The sequence below is a fragment of the Homo sapiens genome, chromosome X (assembly GCF_000001405.40).
Source record: "Homo sapiens chromosome X, GRCh38.p14 Primary Assembly".
Classification (NCBI taxonomy): domain Eukaryota; kingdom Metazoa; phylum Chordata; class Mammalia; order Primates; family Hominidae; genus Homo; species Homo sapiens.
Window position 1 is genome coordinate 7,975,144 of NC_000023.11, and position 26,098 is coordinate 8,001,241.

The window sequence follows — 26,098 nt, forward strand, 5'->3', positions numbered from 1 at the left end:
TCAGTTTTGAGACTCGGACTGGCTCTCCTTGCTCCTCAGCTTGGAGACAGCCTATTATGGGACCTTGTGATTTTGTAAGTTAATGCTTAATAAAGTCCCCTTTGTGTGTGTGTGTGTGTGTGTGTGTGTGTGTATGTATATATATTCACACACACACACATATATGTGAAAGAGCTGAAATTGTGGAAAAACAGACACAAGCTCTTATCACGTGAGGGGCTGACCTTCAATGAAAGATGCATGCACAGCCTCGCCAGATGTCTACTGTTAAAGTGAGGGCATTGACTGGAAAAGAATGGGACCCTGCAACTTGGAATGGGGACGGTGAGGGAGGACCCTGATGAAGCTGGGGACACTGAGTTTGTAAACTCCAATGAACCTTTTTTTGCCAGAAGGAACAGCTTCCCCATCCCCTGTAATGGCAACATCCTTTCCCTGACCCATGGCTGCCATCAGCCTTTCCACCTTTGTCTGAGGAGATAAACCCTGTGCTGCCTGAGGCAACAGTGATGGCCTCCCCTGAGGCAGTTGCCAGACAAAATAATGTTGATTCTCCTCAGGAGCCACCCCTAACACCCCTGTTTGCTTCTAGATCTATCACTAAAGTCCCAGCAGGCCCCTAGAGGTGAGGTTGAGAATGTGACCCATGAGGAGGTGCGCTACACTCGAAAAGAACCATTTGAGTTCTATAATTGATATAAACAGAAATTTTGGAGAACAGGCATGGGAATAGATATTAAGGGTATGGGATAATGGTGGAAAGAACATAGAGTTGGATCAGGCTGAATTTATTGATTTGGGCCCACTAAGTAGGGACTCTGCTTTTAATTTTGCAGCTGGGGAGTTAAAAAAAGGTTCTAATAGTTTATTTGCTTGGTTAGCTGAAATATAGATTCAAAGATGGTGGTAAAGGCCAAATGGAAGCCATTAGAGCTGCTCCTACCTAGAAAAATAGTGAATAAAAACAGTATCCCATCCCTGGAGGGATTGTGGAGATTAGTGTCACCATCAATGCACCTTGAAAGATGCAGGGATGGTGATTCCCACCACATCCCCATTCAGCTCTCTTATTTGGCCTGTGCAGAAGACAGATGGATCTTGGAGAATGACAGTGGATTATCGTAAGCTTAACCAAGTGGTGATTTCAGTTGCAGCTGCTGTACCAGATGTGGTTTCATTGCTTGAGCAAATTAACACATCTTCTGGTAATTGGTATGCAGCCATTGACTTGGCAAATGCCTTTTTTTCCATTCCTGTCCATAAGGCCCACTAGAAGCAATTTGCCTTTAGCAGCAATATACCTTTACTCTCCTACCTTAGGGGTATATCACTTCTCCAGCTTTGTGTCATAATCTCGTTTGGAGAGACCTTGATTGCTTTTTGCTTCCACAAGACATCACACTGGTCCATTGCATTGATGATATTATGCTGATTGGATCCAGTGAAAAGAAGTAGCAAACACACTGGACTTATTGGTGAGACATTTGCGTGCCAGAGGATGGGAAATAAATCCAGCGAAAATTAATGGACCTTCTACCTCAGTAAAATTTTTAGAGGTCCAGTCGTTTGGGGCCTGTCAAGATATTTCTTCTAAGGTAAAGGATAAGTTGCTGCATTTGGCCCATTCTACAACCAAGAAAGAGGCACAACGCCTAGTGGGCCTATTTGGATTTTGGAGGAAACACATTTTTCATTTGGGTGTATTATTGTGGTTCATTTATTGAGTGACCTGAAAGGCTGCCAGTTTTGAGTGGGGTCCAGAACAGGAGAAGGCTCTGCAACAGGTCCAGGCTGCTGTGCAAGCTGCTCTGCCACTTGGGCCATATGACCAGCAGATCCAATGGTGCTTGGGGTGTCAGTGGCAGATAGGGATGCTGTTTGGAGCCTTTGGCAGGCCCCCATAGGTGAATCACAGTGGAGGCCTCTAGGATTTTGGAGCAAGTCCCTGCCATCTTCTGCAGATAACTACTCTCCTTTTGAGAGACAGCTCTTGGCCTGTTACTGGGCTTTGGTGGAAACTTAACCTTTACCTATGGGTCATCAAGTCACCATACAGCCTGAACTGCCTTTCATAAACTGGGTGCTTTCTGACCCACCTAGCCATAAAGTGCGTCGTGCACAGCAGCATTCCATCATCAAATGGAAGTGGTATATACAAGATCGGGCTCAAGCAGGTCCTGAAGGCACAAGTAAGTTACCTGAGGAAGTGGCTCAAATGCCCATTGTCTCCACTCCTGCCACCCTGCCTTCTCTCCCCCAGCCTGCACCGATGGCCTCATGGGGAGTTCCCTATGATCAGTTGACAGAGGAAGAAAAGACTAGGGCCCGGTTCACAGATGGTTCTGCACAATATGCAGGCACCACCCGAAAGTAGACAGCTCAAGCACTACAGCCCCTTTCTAGGACATCCCTGAAGGACAGTGGTGAAGGGAAATCTTCCCAGTGGGCAGAACTTTGAGCAGTGCACCTGGTTGTGCACTTTGCATGGACAGAGAAATGGCCAGATGTGCGATTATATACTGATTCATGGGCTGTAGCCAGTGGTTTGGCTGGATGGTCAGGGACTTTGGAAGAAGCATGATTGGAAAATTGGTGACTAAAAAATTTGGGGAAGAGGTATGTGGATCGTCCTCTCTGAGTGGTAAAAAACAAGATATTTGTATCCCATGTGAGTGCTCACCAACAGGTGAAGTCAGCAGAGGAGGAGTTCAGTTGTCAAGTAGGTAGGATGACCCATTCTGTGGACACCACTCAGCCTCTTTCCCGAGCCATCCCTGTCATTGCCCAATGGGACTATGACCATAATGGCCATGGTGGCAGGGATGGAGGTTACCCATGGGCTCAGCAACATGAGCTTCCACTCACCAAGGCTGACCTGGCTACGGCCACTGCTGAGTGCCCAATTTGCCAGCAACAGAGACCATCACTGAGCCCTCGATGTGGCACCATTCCTCGGGGTGACCAGCTAGCCACCTGGTGTTAGATTGATTATATTGTACCTCTTCCATCATGGAAAGGGCAGAAGTTTGTCCTCACTGGAATAGACACTTACTCCAGATATGGGTTTGCCTATCCTGCATGCAATGCTTCTGCCAAGGCTACCATCTGTGGACTCATGGAATGCTTTATCCACCATCATGGTGTTTCACACAGCATTGCCTTTGACCAAGGCACTCACTTTGTGGCTAAAGAAGTGCAGCATTGGGATCATGCTCATGGAATTCACTGGTCTTACCATGTTCCCCTTCATCCTGAAGCAGCTGGATTGATAGAGTGGTGGAATGGCCTTTTGGAGTCTCAATTACAATGCCAACTAGGTGACAATACTGCAGGGCTGGGGCAAAGTTCTCCAGAAGGCCGTGTATACTCTGAATCAGCATCCAATATATGGTACTGTTTCTCCCATAGCCAGGATTCATGGGTCCAGGAATCAAGGAGTGGAAGTGGAGGTGACACCACTCACAATCACCCCTAGTGATCCACTAGCAAAATTGTTGCTTCCTCTTCCTGCGACATTATGTTCTGCTGGCCTAGAGGTCTTAGTTCCAGAGAGAGGAATGCTGCCACCAGGAGACACAACAACGATCCCATTAAACTGGAAGTTCAGATTGCCAGGACACTTTGGGCTCCTTCTACCTTTAAGTCAACAGGCTAAGAAGGGAGTTACAGTGTTGGCTGGGGTGATTGACCCTGACTATTAAGATGAAATCAGTCTACTACTCCACAACGGAGGTCAGGAAGAGTATGCATGGACTACAGGAGATCCATTAGGGCATCTCTTAGTATTACCATGCCCTCTGATTAAGGTCAATGGGAAACGACAACAGCCCAATCCAGACAGGACTACAGATGACCCAGGCCCTTCAGGAATGAAGGTTTGGGTCACTCCACCAGGAAAAAAACTATGACCTGCTGAGGTACTTGCTGAAGGCAAAGGGAATACGGAATGGGTAGTAAAAGAAGATAGTCATCAGTATCAGCTACTACCACGTAACCAGCTGCAGAAACAAGGACTGTAATTGTCGTGAGTATTTCCTCCTTTTTTTGTTAAAAACATGTTTGTATGCATGTGTACACTTGTTCTAAGAAAATATCTTCATTTTTTCCCTTTTCTTTATCATGTGGCATAAGATTTATTGACATTATATCAGCATTTAAGTATTGTTAACTTTATGTAATAGTATTTGGGTTGGGGATTGGTGTGTTTCCGGTTGTAGAAAGAATAGTTGTATTATGGTAGGCATAATTATGACCTCATTATTGTCTTTATTTGAAGATTATGTATGATCTCAGGAGATGTGTATGGGTTCAAGTTGACAAGGGGTGGACTTGTGATGATTAATACTGAGTGTCACCTTGATTGGAGTGAAGGATACAAAGTATTGATCTTGGGTGTGTCTGTGTGGGTGTTGCCAAAAGAGATTAACATTAGAGTCAGTGGGCTGGGGAAAGTAGATCCATCCTTAATCTGGTGGGCACAATCTAATCAGCTTCTAGTGAATATAAAGCAGGCAGAAAAACGCGAAAAGGCAAGACAGGCCTAGCCTCCCAGCCTACATCTTTCTCCCGTGCTGGATGCTTCTTGCTCTTGAACATTGGACTCCAAGTTCTTCAGTTTTGGGACTCGGACTGGCTCTCCTTGCTCCTCAGCTTGCAGATGGCCTATTATGGCCTCGTGATAATGTAAGTTAATGCTTAATAAGCTCCCCTTTGTGTGTGTGTGTGTGTGTGTGTGTGTGTGTGTATACACACACACATATATACGTACATATATATATATGTGTGTGTGTATATATATATATATTAGTTCTGTCACTCTAAGAGAACCCTGACTAATACAACAACTGAGCAGGATATATTAATATCAGTGCTGAGCCACTGGTTTGTGGGTATGTCATTTCCACAAAGACATCAAAATGCCATTTAGTTTGTTTTGGTCCACCATTCAATAATACCTCCCTTTAGCATTGAATGAAAGTATTTTATTAACATTTATTTATGCTTACAATTATTTCACATCTTTGTCAAGGCAAATTATGTAGAGTGCTTTGTTTTTTAAGTTTAATATTTGTAAAGTATGTGGAAGTTTAAGTATACATGCATATAAAAACTTGAATGATGAATTCTCCTACCTTTCCTTTTGTAATATGCAGTTTTTGCATGTAACAACATACAAAATGTTCATTTGGAAACACTTTAGTAAGTATGAAATTCAGAGTATATTTAGAGTATGAAATTCAGAATATATTTAAAGTCAGTTAAATATATTCTTTTGCTGAGTTTCTGAAATTCCATTTATGGATGGTTCAAAACACCATACTCCCATTGGGAGGAGAGGAGTGACTGCCTCTCATTTTTCCTTGTTCTTTTCATTTTAATTGGCTCCTATATACCACTCTTATCTTTTCAAGGTTTTCCACATTTAAGAAAAAAAGCAAATTCATTCAGATTCTGTTTTTCTGCCTGCAATCACTTATACAGGAATAAGTGAGTCCTTATGGGGAGCATTTAATTCCTAAAGTTTGCATTTTTCTAAAGGATTTTCCTTTTACCCAAAGCATGTGTTGATGTGTAAGTCTTAAGTACTACTTCAAGTTTCTAAGAAGATCCTTAATTGAGATCTCTTTCAGTAGTTACAGGGGCAAAATAAGCACTGCAGAGGTCCATGTGAGAGTTCTATTATACATACTGGGCTATATGACTATTTGTTCTATAGTGGAAGGACAAGAAAGAGGCCATAATGTACTTAGTGATGGAACAGTTGATATTTATGCCACCCCTTACCTCAAGTGAGTAACTGTGTACTTGAAGTCACTTTGGCAGATATTCTGAAGGGAAGAAAGTTTTTGCCCTTAAAAGTTATTAGGGGTGTGTGTATGTATGTGTTTAAATGTGTGTATATGTATAAATGTGAGTGTGTATGTATGTGTATATGTGCATATACATGTATGTGTGTATACATATAACATGCATATATGTATACTCTATGCATATATGTAATGTGAATATATGCACACACATACATATATATATGACTTTATTTTTTAGAATTGTTTTTAGTTCACAACAAATTGATCTGAAGGTCTAGAGCTTTCTGATTTACCACCTGTTCTTCCACCATGGCATTTCCCACTATCCATATCCCCCACCAGAATGGTGCCCTTCTTATACCCCATGAACTTACATTGACACATCATTATCACCCCAAGTCCATAGATTATTTCAGGGTTCACTCTTGGTTCCTTTTTTTTTTTTTAGTGACTATTTTTCTCATGTCACCTGTGCTAGTAGTCCCTGTTTTATTTTTCATAAAGAGAACATTTTATTTATACTTTTTTGTGACCGGGAAATGTTAGGTCAGAATATCAGAAACAAGTCACACTAAAACAAATGTAAAGATTCACTTTTCTTCTGAAAATGGCAAGACAGATAAGTTTTATTTACATACATATGCTTGAAACATTGCAGTTAGTCCCTTTAAATTCTAGACCGAAGCACATATTTTCTTTTGTTCCATAATAAATATTCCCTTTAAAGAATGGCTGATATCAAGAGCATCATGTCTCCTAATATGGTCTCACTCAACAGCTGAATGTTGAAATGTACAGCCACAAAGCACTAAATATATCCTTAGAACAATGATGTACTGAACAAAATTCAGAGGTCATATGCAAAGACAGCTCCCAAGGAAGTTTGCAAGTGGCAAGTCCTTTCCTTCAGCAACTGAAACCCAGGAGAAACAGAGTCTCTTGCCTCTGCTTCTTGGAGAGGGGTTCTCCTGACACCGGAGGGAAATGGCGATCTCATCTCCCTGATGTTAGTTAAAATTTCATCTTGGATTGATAGGTTCATATCTTTGTGAAGATATCTAAATTAAGGTGATCCAGCCAAATCACTAAATACTCGGCTCACTCCTTAGGAGGAGCTTAACTCTGCCATGATTTCTGTGTACACACCTCATTTATTGCACTCAGAGTACAAAAGCTCTGAGATGTAAAATTGAACCAGGCAGCACATTGCATTCTTATCCAAGTGAATCAAGGCTTTCTCAGTGCTACTCATCCAAAGCACATTGAAATCAATTCTTCTTATTTATTTGTAAAACAGACAGTGATGATGGTGTCTGTGTCAGAGGGTTACTGTGAGTGTCAGAGGAAACGATGATGGTGAGAAGGTTAGACACATGGTACATGTTGAATTAATGTTAGCTATTAGTTACCAATACCTTCATGATTTTTATTGGTATGTAATAGTTGTAAATATAAAAGGGTAAATGTGATATTTTGATTTGTGAATATGTAAATATCAGATCAGGGTAGTTGGAATATTCATTATCTCAAAGTTTTATCATTTTTTGTGTCGAGAACATTGCAAATCTCATCTAGGTATTTTGAGATACAGGATAACTGTAGTTACTCGAGTGTGCTATTGAACACTAGAACTTATTTCTTCCCTCTAACTGTATGTTTATACCCATTGTCCAGCATTTCTTTTTCCCTGACATCCCTCCTACCGTTTCCAGCCTCTGGTAACCACCATTCTACTCACTACCTCCCTGAGATCAATTGTGTCCAGGAATGAAAAGCAAATAAGTGGTAAAGATGGACTAGTTGATAGTTAATAACCATGACTGGTCTATTCTTTGTCTGCTACACTTTCTTTCCTCTATGTGTGGCAAGTGCCTACTTACTCTTTTAAGGCTTGTGTCAAAGACCACCGAATTCTTCACCTTTTCTGGAATCTGTTAGTTCTCAAACAAAATTGTGCCCGTTTTCTTCTCTTTTAGTGGTTCTGTACCTCTCAAACCCCGTATCGTGGCTGTGACTTAAACGTTACCCTTGAGAGTAAAACTTTTATCATAGTTTTGTTTTTGGAACCTTGCACATTTCTAGACATACAGGAGGTGCACAATATACATGTACTAAGTAAATGAATGATTGGTCATTTGAAAGAATAAGTGTTGAATACACAGCAATTCTCCAATCTCTGTGTTTATGCAAACACAAGAATTAACTTTGCCTAATTCAAATATTATATTGAAATTTATTCAAACTTCCCATTTTCCATGAATTAAGCAGACATCCGTTGTTACTAGATTTTCACTAATCAGTTAAATCTCTTTTGCCTTGTATCATTTTAAAAGAGCATGTGGAACAAAATCAAACAGCTTAGGTAGTTTACATCTCTTGAGCTCACTATTTTAAGGAGCGAAGTTCACCCTGCCACTTGCCTATCTGTCTCAGTACTCACACAACACTTGCATCGATGTCCTGCTAATGTACATCAAATCAAATATTCATACCTGCTTTTAAGTGTGCTCCCGTCAACAAACAGTTCACTTGGTTAGTATTATCTTCCATCCAGGATCAAGATAAAATATGTGCCAGAGAAAGATGCCTTATAGAGATTCTCACAATGTACTAGTTACACATAAATTAATTACTGGAGCAGACATTCCTACCTTTTAGAAAGTGAAGACTTGTTCATAGGAGTTGAGAGTGAAGAAAATCAATTCTTGTTGAACTGATAAATGTTCCTTCTAGATAGTTTACATTGCCATTAAAGCATAAAGTTGCCATTTTTCTTTATCTGTCAGCTACTTATTGCACAAGCTATTCTGGCTTTTCAAATCATATCTTTTGGTCATTTGCCAAGTGCTTGGCAGTTGGGTACACATGGATTAGCCAGTAAAAGAATCTCAGAACTTTCCAGCTATTTTTGATCAGGTACACCTGTAAATCTTAAAAAGCCTATAAAGAAATACCTAACTAGCACATTGGATACAAGAAACAAAAATCTCACGTAGGAAAATAGTAGCTGAAGTTCTGAATGTTGACTCAACTTAGGAAATTGCAGGCATTAGGGAGAAAAATCCTTAAAGCTTAAAATTCCACTAGGTGGTAACCACTGTTAACACACACATGCATTTCCCTCTTCATATTTGGGAAATTGATGGTTGTGTTTTCTTTTTAGGGTGGAAGAAGGAATTCTCCCTTAAGGGAAGGAAAATATAGGAAAAAGAACCACTCTTTGAAGGCATCTGTTGTCCAAATCATGAGGAAGAGCTTGTAGTTCTGAGTTGCACAAATGTGCTTTAGTTGTTTTTCTGTAGGATACTTGGCGAGGTCACCTGTTTCACCATAGCTGTGTCCTCAGACCCAGTGTAGGAAAAGGGTAAAAAAATGTTGATTGGATAAATGTGTGACATTGCTAGTTCATACCTCTCTGAGCATCTCTTGAAGCTGCTGCAGGTAAAATTCCTCCATCTTTTCTTCATTCTGTCACTTGCATATTGGGAGCCTTTCCTACTGCCCTTGTTATGTTGCTTTGGTTTGTGCGTGAATCTTTTCCATTACATATGTTTGTACTTCCAGGATCTCGCACATAACTGTGCTCAATAAATATCAAATGAATGCATGAATGACTGAACACATGAGTTTCAGATGTCCTTTACAGCCTTTTCTCATTGAAGTATATGCTTGTTCTTTGCCTCTTAAAAAGGGGTACAACTCAATGAAAATAGGGTTGCCAAATGTTGCAAAACTAAGCGTAGTCTTAACAAAACTAAACATAGACATGCCATACGATGTAGAAATTACACTCCCTGGTAATTACCCAAATGAAAACTTATGTCCACACAAAAACTTGTATGCAAATGTTTAGCAGCTTTATCTATCATTACCAAAATTTGGAAGCAACTAAGATGTCCTTCAATGGGCGAGTGCCTAAACAAATTGTGGCACATTCATACAATGCAATACCATTCAGCAATTGTAAGAAATGATCTAGCAAGCCATGAAATGATCAGAAGGAACCTGAAATGCATATTGCCAAAAGAAAAAAGCCAATCTGAAAAGGCTGCATGCTGTATGATTCCTGCTATATAGATGACATTATGGAAAAGGCAAAAGTATGGAGACAGTAAGATGTTTAATGTTTACAGGGGCTGGGGACAGGGAAGGATCAATTGGTGGCGCACAGAGAATTTTTTAGGGCAGCCCAAATACTGCGCATCATACTAAAATGATGGATACTTGTCATGATGCATTTGTCAATATAAAGAGTGAACCCTAATGGAAACTATGAACTTTAGGTTATAACGATGTATCATTATTGGCTCGTCAGTGATAACAAACCTATCAGTCTGAGGTGGGATATTGAAAGTGTGCATGTAGGTTTGTTGGGGAAGGAGGTACATGGGAACCTTACGTACTTACTGCTCAATTTTGTTGTGAATCTAAACCCATACTAAAAAATAAAGTCAACCCAAAAAGTACGAGGTACTCAAATAAATGCAAATTTCAGATACACAACGAATACTTTTTTAGTATAAGTGTGTCCCAGGCAGTCTTTAGGACATGATTATACAAAAAATATTTCATTGTTTACCTGAAATTCATGTTAAACAGTCCTGTATTTTATCTGGCAGCCCTACTTGAGAGAAGACATCTGATCTTATAGCTTCTTGGTGTTCACCACAATGTCAGGGGAGATGTTGGGGACTTGGGCTTTGCTTCTTGGAGAGCTGCATGAGATGACTTCAGCAGTACTTCTTCCAGCTCAAGAAACCACACTACTGAAAAAACCTGGATAAACTGAACACACTTTGAGGAGAATAATGAGAAAGATGACTCAAAACCAAGTTTCAGGATGTGTGGTTGATGACACTGAGGTTATATAATCTGGAGAAGGGATGATCCAGGAGTAATGGGAAAGTTGTTGCTAAGGCATCTTTTTCATAAAGATTAATAAAGTCATTTTCTAAAGCTGCAAGGGGTAACAGCAGTGCCAGTGAGTGAAGGCCACAGCAAAGCCTATTTCAGCTGGCTGGTGGGATTCTTTTCTAATAGCAAGAGTCATTCAACAATGGAAGGGGCTTCTTTGAAAGGTGGTGCCTTGCTCTATCCTGGGTGTATTTGTACATAAGCTGGGTGATCCCATGGCAAGGGTGCTGATGTGAGCATTACCATATGAATGTGTAGACTGACTGGTGACACGTGTGTGTGGGCTCATGCACACAAAAGAACTTTAACATAGTACTGACCTTTTCATTCATTTTTATTGAGATATTGCACATAGTACAAAATTTACCACTTTAAAGTATAACTATTCACTAGTTTTTAGTATATTCACAAGGGTGTACAGGTATCACCATCTCCACTATCTAATTCCAGAACATTTCTGTCATCTCAAAAAGAAAGCCATTAGTAATCACCCTCCAATCTTCCCTTATCCCAGCCCCTGGCAACCACTAATCTTTCTGTCTCTATGGATTTGGGACTGGTTAATATTTAAGGTAAGGTCCCCTTGAACTTGGAGATTCTCTTGTCTCTGTAAGGAGGCCCTTGGGATCCACCACCCAAACACAAGGAGGTCATTCCCAAGGACAAAGGAATCTCAGCACACTGGAATCAGTGTTAAACTCAGACCCTCAAGAAGTTAGAATGCACCGTCTTTAAATCCCACATTCTTTTTTTTAAATTTTTTTTTTAAATCTTCATTTGGATTGGTTTATTTTATTATTATTATACTTTAAGTTTTAGGTTACATGTGCACAATGTGCAGGTTAGTTACATATGTATACATGTGCCATGCTGGTGTGCTGCACCCATTAACTCGTCATTTAGCATTAGGTATATCTCCTAATGCTATCCCTCCCCCCTCCTCCCACCCCACAACAGTCCCCAGAGTGTGATGTTCACCTTCCTGTGTCCATGTGTTCTCATTGTTCAGTTCCCATCTATGAGTGAGAATATGCGGTGTTTGGTTCTTTGTTCTTGCGATAGTTTACTCTCCAGTGGCGCAATCGGTTAGCGCGTGGTACTTATAAATCCCACATTCTTATGGCGGCACTGTCTGTTCAAATAATAGTTTTTTTTTTTTTTCGTTCCATATAAACATGCACTGGTGAGCCTGAGACTTAAAGGAAATGCCATGAAGTCAAAATAGTGAAAACTACATTTTACTTTGTCAACCTAAATAACAGAGAGTCTCTCCAAAAGAAAAGATGTTTATTTGTGAACAGGGCATTGCAATAGAAACACACATGCCATAGTAAACTATACGCCTATTCAGGGAGGTAAAGGAAGACAAAAGTTTTTAAAGGGAAAAATGAGGAGGATGATGTAACTGTTTTGAAATCATTATCTTTGACTACAAAAATCAATAACAAAGGTGACACCAGTCCGAGTTTGGTCAGGGAGTTGTTTGGCAGATGTCCTTATAGAAGTATTTTTTCTGTAAGGTTGCGATGACATTTGTGCAAGGTTGTGGTTTTTGCAGCCTTTTGTGATAGTTTTTGTTATCAGACCTACAAGCATGTGAACCATCTCCATGGTTTTCCCTGGCTCTGTTTGCCAGGATTTTCTTAACACTAGTCACCCCCACTTCATTCTCACAACTTTCACAAATTGCAGCCTCGTTTGTGTGTGCAATAAGCCTTCATTTCTATTCTTTTTTGAATATTTTACAGATGGGGTACAGTTGCTCTCTAGGGTTTTTTCTTTTATTTCTTTTCTTCATTAGTAACTTGTGATTCTGAAAAGAGGAAGTAGGAAATTACAACATTGTTTGTGCTAAAACTTGACATAGCATGATTAGAAAAACTGTCCTTGGGCACAATTGTGATGAAGACATGAGTGGGTTCTCTCTTGTTTCATCAGGACAGCTGGTAAACTCCCACACTTGTGCTTCTAGCCTTTCTTTTGGCGGGGCATGAAAAGCTCAGCTACAATAAATCATCGTCTAGCCTAAGACATTTATGAATAGATATGTTTTATGAGAGTAGCACATTCAGGATCTGATGAAGACATCTGCTTTTTATTCTCAGTGTGTCACATCTGGGTTAACTACTTTGCAAAAGTGTAGAAATGTTATCATTAAAAATGAATTTGGGTTCAATTGTGGCAAGAGCCACAGCTGAAAACAATGACGGGTTGACAGTTGCCTGAGAAAGCTAGGGCTTTTATTTATTTATTTTAAAGCTATGGCTAGGAGAGGGCTTAGGGACCAAAGGAAAATACTCTACAGTGAGACTTGAACACTTTACTTAACTGTGATCCTGCTCCCGGGTCTGCTCAGGGCACTTTATAGGTATTTTGAGTCAGGGGGAAGTTCACATGCTGTCAATGTGTAAGGAAGGCTCTCTTTGATGAAATACAGTGTGGTGTTGACTTGATGAGCCCACTGTTTTTTCTTAAGGAAATACCTTTGTATTGACTGCATTTGAGGACAAGTAGTGACTCATAAACCTGGAGCAATATGAGGATCTAATAAAATCAACCCCTTTACCTCATACATTCCTAGTGGATGCTCCACAAGAGTTCTGGGGCTACTCAGGGCAGGAAGCCATCCTCACAGGGTTCCCAAGAATTCCGGACAGAAATAGAGTCATCATTCAGCATTCCTCAGGCTGCACTTGCACCCACTTCCTTGTAACCACGAGCCCCATAGCACTAGATCCTGACCATTTGCATCTCTGTTGTTCCTATCGAAAGGATCTCTGATGTTAGAATCAGAGGCTTCTGTTTAAGAATTGCTTCAGCAGATCCTGAATTCCAGTGAAACAGCTGAGGCCAACCAGTTTGAAGACCCCCCACAGAGGAACCCAATCAGCGTGAGAACACAGCTTCTTCATTGCCCTGTCCCATGACTTCACCCTGCACTCTTCTACCAATCAGTGATCTCCACGCTTCGGCCCACTCCAAAACCCTTAAAGCCCCTAGCCCCAAACTCCTTGGAGAGATGGATTGAAGGTTTCCTCTCATCTCCTCATTTGGCAGCCCCATGATTAAACCTCTTTCTCTGCTGCAACCCGGTGTCTCGGGGCAGTGACTTGCCACATGCACGGGGCAATGGACTTATTAGGTTACAGGAGAACCTTGACGTACAGAAATGTGGAAAAAGTTTACAAACCATTTAGGAACATCAAAAGGGACTTGTGGCTACATCACTGGGAGGACGTCCTATACAATCATATCCTCCCAAGTTGGCCTGACAACAGAACATCCATACCCCAATATACAGGCACTGGGGTCGGTTAACAGTGGAGGATGTGGAAGCAAAGGTGAAACCAAGCCAAGTGGCTGCACCACCCCTAAGCAGCACTGTGGCGGCCCCTGATAGCTTGGTTTGCCGTTGTCCCATGGATTTGGCTAGTAAGGAGATGATGAGCCAAGATAGATTCTGACAGTGTAGGACTTACACATACATGTGTCTTCCAAAGCTCATACGCTGGAACGTAGTCCCCAAAGGGAATGTATTAAGAGATGGGGCCATTAGCAGGCGATTAGTGCCCTTATAAAAGGGCTCTGGGGACTAACTCGTCCCTTTTGGCTTCTGCCATGTTGAGGACCCAGTCACAAGTTGTCATTTTGGAAGCAGAGAGCAGTTCTTACTAGATACTGACTCTGCCAGTGCCTCAATCTTGGACTTTCCAGCCTCCAGAACTGTGAGAAATAATTGTCTGTTGTTTATAAATTACCACTCTCAGCTATTCTGTGATAGTATCACAAACAGATTAAGACATTCCCCCCTACCCACGCTGCCAGTTATTTGCCACAGACAAACCATCCCTTTCTCTCTTTTGAGAGGGAGTGATTGCATTGTTGTCAACACCTAGGCACTTGGCAGCTCTCAGTTACTTGGGGACCAAGGTGAAAAAGACTTAAACTTGACAAGTGAGTGAGAAAGAGGGATGAAGAGATAACATCTCCCCACCATCTGGCTTAGCCAGCTGAAGAATAAGATAGAAGGTCTTATTGCAGCTGAACATCTGGTTGAGCTCATGGACTCACCTGGAGATGGATGACTCTCCAGCAAGACCTGCATCAAAACTGCTCTAATTGTTTTTATTAGTTTTCTCTGGCTCAGCTTAGTGGGTTGGGTTTTTTTTTTTTTATAATTGGGAAGCTCCTGCCTTAACTTCTGTGTCAGTCATAGTGATAAAATATGTTGAGTATGCCCTACAATAATGATGTATACATGCTTAAGATGCAAATTGCATCTGTGTGCATGAGATGGAGGTCAAACCCAAGGGTGTCCTCTCTTGAACTTCCACCGTAAAACATCAGACCCCTAGGGCTTCCTCGTGCTTGACCCCTGAGGGTTCACCAAATCATCGCAGAAGAGTCTGCTTGGATTTTATCCTTACTTAGATACTTGTAGATGCTTTATTATTGCTATTAGCTATTTATTAATCATTTTCTTTTAGCACATTATTTTAATAATTTTTATATTGCTCCATTCTGTTACCATGTCTTCAAGAGATAAAGAGAGCATCAAAAGATGATTTGAATCTCCACAGTGAAAAGGCACAGTGAGTAGCTATGAACATCAACCTTAATCCCAAACAATAAACACTGAGATATGCTGTGGCAATATTATAAGATTTTAAAGAAACAAACAAAAATCCTCCCCTAAAGCCTCCAGAAAGGAATGCAGCCCCACCAACACTTTGATTTCAGTCCCGTGAAGATTGTTTTTGGACTTTTGACCTTCAGAACTAGAAGATAATTAATCTGATTCGTTTTCAGCCACTGAGTTTGTGGTCATTTGGTATAGCAGGAATGGGAAACCAACACAGTGTCCATTTTCTTTTCAGTTGCTTTGTGTAGTTTTGTGAAAAGATTTATAGAGATTTTTTTAAAACCTCACCATTGTCATCTTGTTTTGTCTAGGATGTTGTTTTCTAAATTACATTTTATTTAAGCTTTAGTGCACTGGACTAAGTTGACTGAGAATTATTAAATATATTTTCCTCCCCCAAACTGTTATTGGAAGCAATATTTTATAGGAACGAACACAGGGTTCATGATACTGGCTCTTAAACAAAATGTGTGTTTTTATAGAAAATATTCTGGGCTTGCTCATTGTTTATAGCAAGGGAAAAGGAAACTTGTGTTCCATTTTTCACTCCCTTTTACTGACACATTTTTTATGGATATTGAAGCTATTGCTGGTGTCTTCCCTGTAAGTGACACATTTGTACTTTTCAAAAACCATTTTAGAGGTATCAAAGATATGAGCTAGTGAAAACCACCTGCTCATGAGCAAGAAGAAATGAAGCACATTTGCCTCCATTTTTCGGGATTGCAATGTATGGACCATTCATTGAAACCATCTTAAGACGTGGATAAATTTGGGGACTTCTGGAAAATGTCTTTTGCAATGTAGTGAATGTGGATGCTCAATTGATGATGTAAAAAAATAGACTCATATAATACAGTGAAATGAGCTAATTAAATCTGTGACATTTATTGTGGCACAGATGTAATAGATAAAATCTTTTTTTTCATATTCTTCTTAACTTCTTTTCTTATGGTTAAGCCAGTTTTGCTTAAGGCTTAAAAATCAACACCTCTAAAACCTCTGGCCTGTCTTCTTATTTGCTGTAATAGGACACTGTCTTCACTACACCCTGTCAAAGTTCTGGTGCCTTAGAGAATTTTGGGGCAAGGATGGCCTGCTCTCCCTGACCTTCCCTTGTGACTCTCATGAAAAGCATGTGGCTGACAGTGATGTGTGACCCATAGGAATAGTCATCTGGAACTGGGAAGTCTTCTGCACAATTCATGTCACTTTTCTAATTGTGATAGAAATCTCATATGTGCATCAGAAAAATAACTTTAGGACATGGTGCTGAGCCTAGATTCTAAAATCATAACTCAAATCACACCAAATGCAGCTTGGGGACTAGAGTACAGATTAAACTCATGCCAGTAGAGCAAGCTTTGGGCATTGGGTTCACCACTGAAGATTCAATCACCATTGAAATGCTTACTCCCGAGTCTGGTGTCCAAAGTATTCTCAGATCTGAGACATTAACATGAAACATATTTCTCTCTCCCTCTCTCTTTCACTGCATATGTTTTTGCAGTGCTTTCTAAACTCATCCAAAGACTCTATCATTAATCCTTTTTCCATCAGTCCAATGGAGTAGGCATGCAAAGGCATCTTATTACAGTAGAGATTGGAGGAAGAAGGTCCAGAAAGGATTCAGAGTTATATTGTAGTCAATATATTGTGATATATGCATTCTCTCTCTCTCTCTCTCTCTCTCTCTCTCTGTGTGTGTGTGTGTGTGTGTGCGTGTGTGTAGTAGTAGTAGAAGTAGTAGTAAATTAGTGATAGAATGATTGAAGGCACGCTGGACTGATTCACCTCAATCCTCTGCAGAATGATACAGCCTTCCTTACCGTAAAAAACGTAACTTTTTTTTTTTGCCATACATTTAGGGCTCCATCGGTAATTATTAAGCAGCAAATAGACAATTGCCTGGAGAGCCCTCCCTAGAGCCCACCTTCCTGCCATTATTTCTCCCTCCCTTATTCCATTAGCCGTATGGGAAATGATCTGAGCTCTCCCAGCTAGCCTTCCTGGTTCCAGCTCTGTCCTCTGTCCCAACCACTACTTGTTGCTTTCCCTGCACATGCCAGGGTGTGCGGGCTCTGACTGCTTCTCTCTTCCCTTAGCACAAATCACCCTCATCCAATGTCTTTTGAGTTGAGATTTCATTTGCATGGGGCAAGTCCAGAAGGAAGCTCATTGTAAAATATTTGAGAGTCAGGTGTGTGTGTCTCATACTTTGGTGCATCCTCATGGCATATCTGTTATGATACTTTGAATCTAGTAGATGTTTGAAGATTATTAATTGGTTCCTTGAATTAGCACAACTAAGCAATGAACACAAGAGGAAACCTCATCATTTCAAATATCGGCATTGTGGAGATCTTTTTGGGTTTTCTCTTGCTACTTTGGCATGCTTACAGCTCACACTGCATGCCTTTGGACATGCACAACCCCTGAAACTACTCACCAAGACATAATCAAACTGGTTGTGTGTTTAAGCACACAGCTGCCTAAATATCATGTGGATATTATTGAGATTTTATTATCCAGATGTAATGGGGAAATATCCTAATGGAAAACACTTTACTCATTTTCTGTGAAAGGTGTAACTGTTTTGAAGATTGATTGGGCTGACCAATAAGCATAGAAGGGATTACAGAAAGGCAACCATTTGTAGAAACCCATACTGATAAGTACCAGGTGAACAACATGTTTATTAATCCCACTTAAAAAAAAATGTATCCAGCTTTGGCCAGAGGTTTTCCAGTTTGTCTTCCCATCTGATGCTCAAAAACACTGTGTAAGATATCATTATAAAAATAATTATAGTCACACTACAACTGGCAATGGTACACAGAATTGCCTTGCAGAAGGTCATGCAGTTAGTAAATTGTAGAACAAGATTATCACCAAGCCTTCTGACTCCAAATTCGGTGTCTGTTATATATCACCCTGGCTACCAAATTCCAGGACCCATGGAATCTCCCAGAACCTATGGATAGACATTAGGGAGGCTGTAAACACTCGGAAACTATATGTGCACATCCATAATTACATCTTTCTCAGGGAACACACCTTGATATTTCAAATTTCTTAAAAGGTTTTATGACGTTTACAGACCATCAGAGATAAAAAGCATAGGAAATGAAAACTATAAAACTTAAAAGAGGCAGCTTTCCATCTTTTCTGTTAGAATACATGCTTATCACTCCCACAGAATGTACCCTCAGAAAAAATCTCTGTTTTACACTAGTGGCATATTGATTTCTTTATTGATGGCAATAGGGGTAGTGATAATGAAAGGTGATAGAGTTTCTTTAGTTATATGCAAATATAATATATAAGTTGTGTTGCATTTCCAGTAGCCAAATATTAGATAATGATTTGTCCTGATAAAAATCACTAATAAGATTCATTTGTCTCTCTCCAAACACCAGCTTCTCAATATGAAAAGGCATCTCTGAACTACTGTTATTGACTTAGAAATATTGTTCACTGGGGATGGCGTCATCATACTGCAACCAGTAAGAATGGCGTCACTCCTAGAGGAACTGTTCATACAGAGGAATCCTGCACAAAGCACACCCCTGGTATTGGGCAGTGCACAATTGCACAACTTCACACAGTGACCCTGACTCTGTGAGCAAAAATGGAAAACAATATCAGGGCAGGAATCTGAGAGCAGGCGAGCTCAGGAATAAGAAGCTAAACACTGGCTACGTATCAGATAAAGACTGGACAATACACAAGTGTCAAAGGACAAGATAAATGAATGACTGACTAGACAGTTGTCAGGCTGCCTGTGAAGGTAGGATGCTCTCCTTCAGTGTGTGGTCTATACATTCAAAGATTGAATATGGCACCACGTCTCCAGTGAGAAGATTACATGGGTCATGAAGCGAAGAGATAAAAGTAGAAAGGTCCCCACTCACCATTGTTCCCAGTGACCCACTGAGGGACCTTGTGCTTCCTGTCCTTGCAACTCTTAGTTCTGCAGAATTAGAGGTACTACTAGTCCCCCAAAGGCAGCATATATTTGCCAGGGGATAGGAAAGAACCCTGTTAATTTTATAAGCAACAGAGGCTGCTTGGGCACTTCAGGCTCATTGTTTCCAATACGCAAGTAGAAGTGTTGCCATCTTGACCTTCATTATTAGAAGAGATCATGATGCTGTTACACAATGGAGCAGGGAGGAAGAAGGGTGTCACCTCAGGATTTACTGTGACCAAAATGAACAGGGACAACGACCCTGGATTTCAAAGAACATAGTGCCTGAGCTCAGTGACCCCCAGGAGTGAGGACTTCTGTTGCTTCAAGTCACGACCAGCAGAAATGGTAGCCAAGGGTATGGGATCTAGAAGCATTTTGAGAGGAGACAGGAGATGAATGTCTGTTGTGATCCTGAGATGAGATGTTGCACTGGGGCTTCAGGTTTTTCTCTTAACCTGTTTGTACTGAGCTTTCCCCTAGAAGGAGAAGCCTGCTGGGATCCTGAAGAGAAGTGTTCCCCAAACAGAGATGGGTGCCTCGGATGGAGTGTGGCGGACTCATGACATGCCACCCAGATCATCCTTCAAGGATGGTCTAGGCCGGACGCTGTGGCTTACGCCTGTAATCCCAGCACTTTGGGAGGCCCAGGCAGGTGGATCACGAGGTTAGGAGTTTGAGACTAGCCTGACCAACATGGTGAAACCCCGTCTCTTCTAAAAATACAAAAATTAACCAGGCGTGGTGGTGCATGCCTGTAATCCCAGCTACATAGGAGGCTGAGGCAGGAGAATCGCTTGAACCTGGGAGGCAGAGGTTGCAGTTAGCCGAGATCGCACCACTGCACTCCAGCCTGGGTGACAGAGCAAGACTCCGTCACAAAAAAAGATGGTCTTGCTGGCCAGCCGCAGGTATATGGTTAGGCGGCAGATCCTTTCGGGTTCCTTTGGCTGCAGAGAGACACGTGTTTCCCTGGGTGACCCACTTCCAAAGAAGGCATCATGTAGGGATGTAAAGCCCAGTCATTTGAATCCAGCATAGGACAACACTAACAGACATTTGCTCCCTAGCTCCTGTGGTTCAAGGCTGCATTGCAGCTCATCTTTTCCCTGTACCTCATCCTATTTCCATCTCCTCCTTTTCACATGTGTTGATCCATAATAAATACCTTCCTCCAGGATCCATTTCAGTATCTGCAAGAATAAATACCTTGAGTGATTTTCAAAGTTTATATTGTCAATTTTTTAAAAGGCATACACTGTATAATTTTATTTATATGTGGTATCTCGAGTGGGCAAACTCCTAGAAACAGAAAGTGGCACCCTAGGGGGCTACTAGGGTGTGGGGCAGGGGAAATTTGGAATTGTTTAACGGGTACACAGTTTCATTTTTGCAAGATGAAAAAGTTGTAGAAATTGGATTTACAACAATATGAATATGCTAAATACTGAACTGTATACTTTTTTTTTTTGAGACAGAGTCTCGCTAATTTTTTGTATTTTTGGTAGAGGCGGGGTTTCACAGTGTTGGCCAGGATGGTCTCAATTTCCTGACCTTGTGATCTGCCCGCCTCCACCTCCCAAAGGCTGGGATTACAGGCGTGAGCCACCACATCTGGCCTGAACTGTATACTTAAAGATGGTTAAGAGGGTAAAAATGGTATGTTCATTTGTGATAAGATTAAATCAATTTAACAATAAAATAGAAACAAATGAATCAATAAATCGGTCTACATATTCATTGTAGAGTTCCTGAAATAGAAATTATTTATTATTCTTATGAGACCCAAAACCAGGTAAAATGGATTATATATACATATAAGTGTTATATATACATATCATTGTAAGTTTTGTATATACATATAATTGTAAGTTTTGCACTAATGTCACAGTTTCCTTGGAGGAATTTTTAATAATGTGGTTTAGTATTTTCTTAAGAAGAAACTAAAGATTTATTTTTGCACATTACGTGTCACCTGAATAAGTGTTGCAAATGTAATATGATTTCAACATGAAATAGCCTAACAGACTTCTCACCTGCCTATTACCTTAAAAAATAACCAAACTGAACACAAGAAAATTAGATTGCTGAAAACCTTCACTCTGAAGTGAAGAACCTGAGTTGTTCCTGCAGGTGGCACTGTCCGACAATAAAAAAGACCAATCTATGAACTGCCCTGTTAAAAATTCAATACTAGCCTTCTTGACCTAATGTTTAAACATACATTTTCTATAGTATAAAAATGAACTTTTTTGTTTGTGGTAATATCTATTAACAACTGTTCTTGTCCTTTATTCAAATATGGATATTTAACTTTTACTATTGAACATTAGATTGTTATTTTTAGTATTTTTTAAAGGTATTCAGTTAGTGAAATAATATCTTAGATTTCTGGAGTTTATATATTTATCATTATTATTAATTTTCACCAAACCAAAAAATCCTGAATCATCCTGAATGCAGCTAAATTCTTCCTTTCTAGGTAAAGACCCTTGAGTGATACCTGACCACACATACTTGGTCACCCTGTGGGTGTGTCAGAAGCACCCCAGTCCTTCTCTTTGGACAGGCACTGGGGCTTTTCTTGAGTTAGATAAGAGGAAATTCCTTGGCAAATGGTTCACTTTGTAGCACCTCACAGGATTTAGGAGCTTAACTCTATGCCTGATACCTTGGCCCCTGTCCTCTTGGAAGAACCAAGGTGGAAATATTGTTGCCAAATAGACTATTCACTTCAAACAGAAAAATAATGCTTGTTACTTTCTGTCTCCTCTGTTGACATTCGTATTCAAAAATGACTTTTCCTGTTCAATTAAAGTAGGGAGAATGAGTTCTTAAGAGTTGAGAGATTCCATAAACTCAGGGAAAGCCTTCATTTTATTGACTCTTTTCAATTGTTTCTCAATGTCTTAATTCACTGGATCCATGCAAGGGTGTGTAATGTGCACTTTCAACAAAAAGCAGCCTGAGAAGCAGGCATCTAATGGCCTGGTGCTAGTGCTCTGTTGCCTTTTTACAACTGTGTCAACACAAGGCTTCCTCTATGCCCTCCAGCCTTCATTCTGAGCACCCAAGCCTTTGTGCTGGGTGGCTTCTTCTTTCCTGACTCCAGCCTTCATTCTGAGCACCCAAGCCTTTGTGCTGGGTAGCTTGTTCTTTCCTCACTCAACATACATCACAAAAATACTTCATGTGTCGAGGCCACTTTTAAAGTGTTTAACTTACCCTCCCAATCCTCTTCTGCAATTTATTTCAAGATACAGACTCGATGAATTTAATGTATAGCATGCCTCCTGAACCTCATTTAAAACTCAGTCTTTTAAGGGTACTTGTGACTTGGTTTGACTCTTCTGAGCATTAGAATCTTGCCCCCCATTATTGAGAAGGTTCATCTTTTCAGGTACCTCTCTCTATAATAATTTAAAGAGCATTCTATAAAATCTAGCTTTACAAATACAACAAAATGTTGAGGATAATGAAGCCCACACTCTATAATAAAACTCAATAGCTTGCCAAATGAATATTCAGACACTTGTATCAATATTTTCTAGATATGCAACAGATTCTATAAGGTATACAACAACTTGAAATAAGACTCCAGGTTCCACTTACTGTTGAGATGGAGACAAATCCTGCCAAGCAACAAAAGTTTGTGCTTGCACTGCTTCCTGTTTGGTTGTGAATTAATATTGGTTGGGAGCAAACATTGGAGCACCTATTTGCACTGCATGAAGACCTCGTAGGGAAACACCTTTAAAATTCCTCTAGAAATACTAGCTCTACTTTAATCAATTTATGCTTTTTCAATTTGCATTCAGTGCCCTCTGGCTTATAAAGGCAAATACTCAACAGCCACGCCTGTCATTTTCTAAATCATTTCCATGTAGAGGCTTTGGAAGGGATCAACCCACCCTCATTTATAACATGCAAGAAGGAAGTGTACCTCATATACCTTCTTGACTATATCTTTATGGACCCACAAAAAGGCCTTCATTGACCCAGAAATGGAAAAAAAAAATCAAACTAATAGCCATATGTGAGTGCTTCATTTCAGACTCTAATAATGTGAACTTCTAGAACCATGTAGCATGAAGTGGGAAGTGGGGCATGGGTTAAGGATTAGAAAGGAAATAGAGTCTCAGAAATAAAGCACTGTTATAGTCTGAATGTTTATGTCTTCTAAAATTTCTGTGTTGAAATCCTTATTCCCAGTATGATGGTTTCAAGAGGTGAGGCCTTTGAGGGTTGATTAGGTATAAGGGTGGGGCCCTCATGAATGGGATTAGTGCCCTCATATAAGAGATCCCAGAGAGTTCCCTTGCCCCTTCCACCATGTGAGGACACAGCAAGAAGGTGCTGTCAATGAACCAGGAAGTAGGTACTCACCAAACACTGAATCTGCCAAGTCTCGATCTTGGACTTCCAGCCTCCAGAACTGTGAGCAATAAATGTCTTTTGTTTACAAGCCACCCAGGCTACAGTATTTTCTTATAGCAGACCTACTGACTAAAATAGGACCTTCCATAATTTTTTTTTTCCAGGACAGCAGATGGAAAAAAAAAAGCCTATCAAAGAAATCCAAAAGATTAGAGATTATGTAATAGTCTGTGAAGACACTTCTGAAAGCATGGTCTGCATATGGCTGAGGTGCAGTGAGCTAAGTTTTTAACATGACTCTGACTGCCCTCTCTAGATTGCATTGACCCTGGGCCACCTGGAACCAGGGGACTTCTTCCGCTACCCTCTAGCAGGGAGCTGCATGCAAACTCAGCTGCCCATGACAGGAGGGCCTGTAACAACCCCTTGGGTTCCAGAGTCTCTAGGTGCCCAGCAGCTATAAATGGCTGCTGACCAGTTCCAGGTGACCAGACAGCCAAGAAGTTTGTGTGTCATTTCACTGATAAGGTTGCCCACATGCTTGTCCTATACACAAAGGAGAGCAATCAGGTGGCCGGGTGTCCAGCCTAGACCCTCATGGTGTGTCCAGCCATGCTGTCCTCTGCACACCTCTCTGAAGGATGAGGATGGACAGAAACAGTGGTTTCTCTTCTCTCATTGACCTTGGCTTTTGAATGTACCCCAGTCTCCAATGAAAGCTATCCCTTCACCCATGCTGTGTCATTGTTGGATTTCTTGTAAATGCTGATGCAGCAGAGAGACTGACCATGCAGTCACTCATCCTGCCCCAGTTACCTAAGTTAGAAGCAACCAGAGCTCTTCTAAAAGCACAAATTTCTAATGCTCAGGCACAACCTATTGAATCAGGATGAGCCTGAATTTTTAAACAGGTTCTCAGGTGAGTTCTACCACAAAATGACTTTGAAAACTAGTGATCCAAGACATTGTTTCTCAAACCATTAGATGACCTTTGAAAGGCTTGTGAAACAGATTGCTGGGGCCCAGACTCAGAGTTTCTGATTCCGTTGATCTGGGGTGGAGTTCTGTAATTTGCATTTTATCCAAGCTTTGGGGTGATGCTTTTACTGCTGATCCTGGGAACTAAATTTAGATAACCACTAGCCTAAGTCTTAGACTCTAAGAGAAAAACAGTGCTAATGTAGTCACAGTAACCTTTGAGGAAGCTAAGAATTTTTTCTGGTGTCTACATTCCTAACATAAGAGAAGAAAAAAATGAAAATACATATTCTGAAGCAACATACTTCTGGCTTCCTTACCAATATATCTGGAAAATGGGGGAAAAGAGACAAAGATAGAATGGCACAGTAAACATTTTTTTGGGAGAATGTGACAATATGATACCATGATCACTACAACTGAAAGTTTTGTACATGTGGCATAAACCAAGAACAAAGCAGTATTTAGTAGATTTCCAAATATTTCATACATCGGGAATGTGTAAGTGCTATAAAACTGCAATATAAAGGCACAAGTTATTTAACAGAGTACACTACATTTCCCCTCTTCAATAAAGATCTAAATACAAATGTAAATGTCAGAGTTATGTAATCCATGTACATAATTCCTTTTCCATTTATTCACTCATATTTAATGAACCTTGAGATGCATAACTTTTAAAAACATGGATAATGATACAAAAATTAGCCAGGCATGGTGGCAGACACCTGTAAACCCAGCTACTCAGGAAGCTGAGGCAGGATAATCTCTTGAACCTGGGAGGCAGAGGTTGCAGTGAGCCGAGATTGTACCATTGCACTCCCAGCCTGGGTGACAGAGCAAGACTCCATCTCCAAAAAAAAAAAAAAAAACCACAAACAAGCCACACCTGGATAATGACATAGGAAGAGTTATTTAATAGCCACTTACCATGTCTGTTCCTACTTGTATTTAAGTTCAGTGACATTCAGTGGTAAGATATTTGCTCAGTAAATGAACAAATGATTAACAGTGTACATTATGTAGTTTACAAAAATTGAAGGAATAAGGGGGAAGAAAAGGAGTACCCATCTCTCTTTTCTTCAAATGGTTTTATTGTGATAGAGTGTGTATGCCACTTAATTCACTCATTTAAATTGCACAATTCTGTAGTTTTTGGTATTGTGTTAGTCTGTTTTCACACTGCTATAAAGAAATATCCAAGACTGGGTAATTTATAAAGGAAAGAGGTTTAATTGACTCACAGTTCTGCATGACTGGGAAGCCCTTAGGAAACTTACAATTATGGCAGAAGATGAAGGGGAACTGAGTACCTTCTTCACATGGCAGCAGGAGAGAAAAGAGTGAGTGAAGGAGGAACTTGCCAAACACTTATAAAACCATCAGATCTTGTGATAACTCACTATC

General features: G+C 40.5%; 1 long non-coding RNA gene across 4 annotated transcripts in view, besides 1 other annotated feature; it reads left to right on the forward strand.

Moving 5' to 3' along the window:
- The window catches only part of LOC107985675 (uncharacterized), a 528,885-nt gene that overhangs the window by 47,644 nt on the left and 455,143 nt on the right, over positions 1–26,098 (forward strand). The window lies entirely within an intron of this gene.
- Positions 12,025–12,319: an enhancer, noted in NCBI's record as "tiled region #2843; HepG2 Activating DNase matched - State 6:EnhF, and K562 Activating DNase unmatched - State 9:DNaseU". NCBI's record gives its function as "activates a minimal TATA promoter and a strong SV40 promoter by Sharpr-MPRA in HepG2 and K562 cells {active_cell/tissue: HepG2 | K562}" and the evidence as "EXISTENCE:reporter gene assay evidence [ECO:0000049][PMID:27701403]".